The 2175-nt window shown below is 49.7% G+C and overlaps 1 annotated feature.

The window, feature by feature from the left end:
* Positions 1034 to 1549: an enhancer, noted in NCBI's record as "H3K4me1 hESC enhancer chr7:51030815-51031330 (GRCh37/hg19 assembly coordinates)". NCBI's record gives its function as "activates a minimal SCP1, AML or CMV promoter by ChIP-STARR-seq in naive and primed H9 embryonic stem cells {active_cell/tissue: H9 hESC(naive and primed)}" and the evidence as "EXISTENCE:reporter gene assay evidence [ECO:0000049][PMID:30033119]".

A 2175-nucleotide genomic window follows, 5' to 3' on the forward strand; every position in this document is an offset into this window, starting at 1 on the left:
GTGGTGGTGCACACCTGTAGTCCCAGCTACTCAGGAGACTGAGACAGGAGAATCTCTTGAACCTGGGAGGCAGAGGTTGCAGTGAGTTGAGATCATGCCACCGCACTCCAGCCTACACAACAGAGTGAGACTCTCAAAAAAAAAAAAAAAAAAAAGAGGTCTGAGATGTTACAAGATGTCCTGGCAGAGATTCCAATCTTGAGTCCAGACTGGAGAGGGAGGCTGAGAGGCTGGGGGAGAGGGTCCATAGAGCTATGGGTACAAGTGAGCCAGAACACCAAGGCAGGGAGTGAGGGCCGGGATGGAAGGAAGGCTGGGAGGGAGCCCTGGGCATCCAGCACCCAGAGGGTGAGGAGGGGAGGGGAGCCGCCAAAATGTGTGCCGTTCAGGAGGAAACCCGCGGAGTGTGAGTCAACCAGCAAAGCCTTTCAAGAGGACCAGAGTGGCCAGATGAGTGCACAGCCCCTAAGGGATAGATTAGAATGAGGACTCGACCCATGGGAGGGCTGGACGCCCGACCATGTAGGCTGCAGCACATGTGAAGACCAACACCAGCAGTCTGACCACTGGTCAAAAGCATGAGATTTGGTATAAAGGAGATTTTTGTGTAAGCAATAGTTTCTGTTCCTCTTAGCCACATGATTTGAGAAAATTATTTAAATGACCCGAGCCTCACCTTCAACATGAGGAACATCATATTCCCTTTGATAAAATGTTGCTGGTGTAAGTGCTCCATAAATGACAGCTTTTATTAGCAGAAGCAGAGATAATCCAACTTCAATGGGAGATTAAACAACGACTTCTGTTTAGAGCTTTAAAATGAGTGAGATGTGTCCACCGCTGGGGTTCTTCTCTTGGTGCCTGCATTGCCCTGCAGGAAGCCTGGTGGTGGTGCCTGGTGTGGTCTGCCAGCTCTCAGCTGGGTGGGAAAGTGGTGCTGAATGGCCCCACCTCTGCTCTGGGTTTTGCCCCACAGGTCGCTGCAGGCCTGCCCCTGGGCTGTGCTGAGTCATCTCCGCAGGCAGGACCTCCCCAGGCAGGCACAAGGCACTGGGAGGTGCCGCCCCTTGGGCCCAGGCCAGTGGAGTTTTAATTGCTGCTCCTCTATTGTTGGCTCTGGTTCCGCTTCTGGAAGGTTTCCAGCCTTTGCTCCTGGGCTTTGGTCTCTTCAGGGAGCCTCCAGCTGCCTCTTTGTCATCAGTGAAGCCACTGAGACCTCCTCTTGGCCCTCCCCCTCCTCCTCCTCCTCCTCCTCCTCCTCATCTTTGCTGGATAATGAGGACTTCAGATCTTGTTTCTGAAGAGAGAGGCTGAGCTGACTTCTGAAGGGTGGAAGGCACCAAACAGGGAGAGGTTTCCAAATCTGGGGACACAGGACAACTGAGTCCCAAATTGTGAACACTTTATTTAAACCCTAAAGGACAGGTCTTTGAAGACTGACTACAGAGGCCACTCAAGGGGATGGAAAGAATATGGGCTTGGGAGGCACAGGCACCTGGGTGCAGACGCCTAACCAGTTCCATCAGGACCTGTGGCAGGTTGCCCACCTACACCAAGCCTCAGTTTCCCCATCTGTGGAGTGGACTGATGTCCACGTGCAAGCCATAGGAGAATTGCAGACAATGCATGAAAAGCATGGAGCCCGAGGGCTGGCTTTAGTGGGAGTCAAAACATGATCACTTTTTCTGTAAACTTTAATTTGGAGATAATGTCAAAGCTACAAAAATTACAAACAGAAAACTAGTACAAGGAACATCTGACTCCTTTATGCAAATCTCCCTTATTGCTGACATAAAAAATGGTAACGTGTTAAATCAATATTTTTAATGTTTAAGCTATTGCGTTGCAAAAACTTTACAGTGTGAACCCAGGCATGTCTCTCAATGTCTCTGAGACTGCCTTTGCTCATCTGTGAAGTGGGAAGGATGTTGTAGCATTTACACCACAGTGAGGGATGAGCAGGAACTTCTGGCCTAGCCACAATAACATAGCTGTCCTAACGAGGCAGGAAAATAGGGTCTGGAGGCAGAGAATATGAGGCTAGTTCACACTTGAGCTATAACAGGAAATATCCTCTCCATAGGGCATACACTATAAATGACTTTGTAACTTTATTTCATCCTCTCCCTTTACATGGGGTGTACACCAAGTCACCAATGTAATCCTCTAGTGGAT

This window comes from Homo sapiens, chromosome 7 (genome assembly GCF_000001405.40).
Source record: "Homo sapiens chromosome 7, GRCh38.p14 Primary Assembly".
In the NCBI taxonomy this organism is placed as follows: Eukaryota; Metazoa; Chordata; class Mammalia; order Primates; family Hominidae; genus Homo; species Homo sapiens.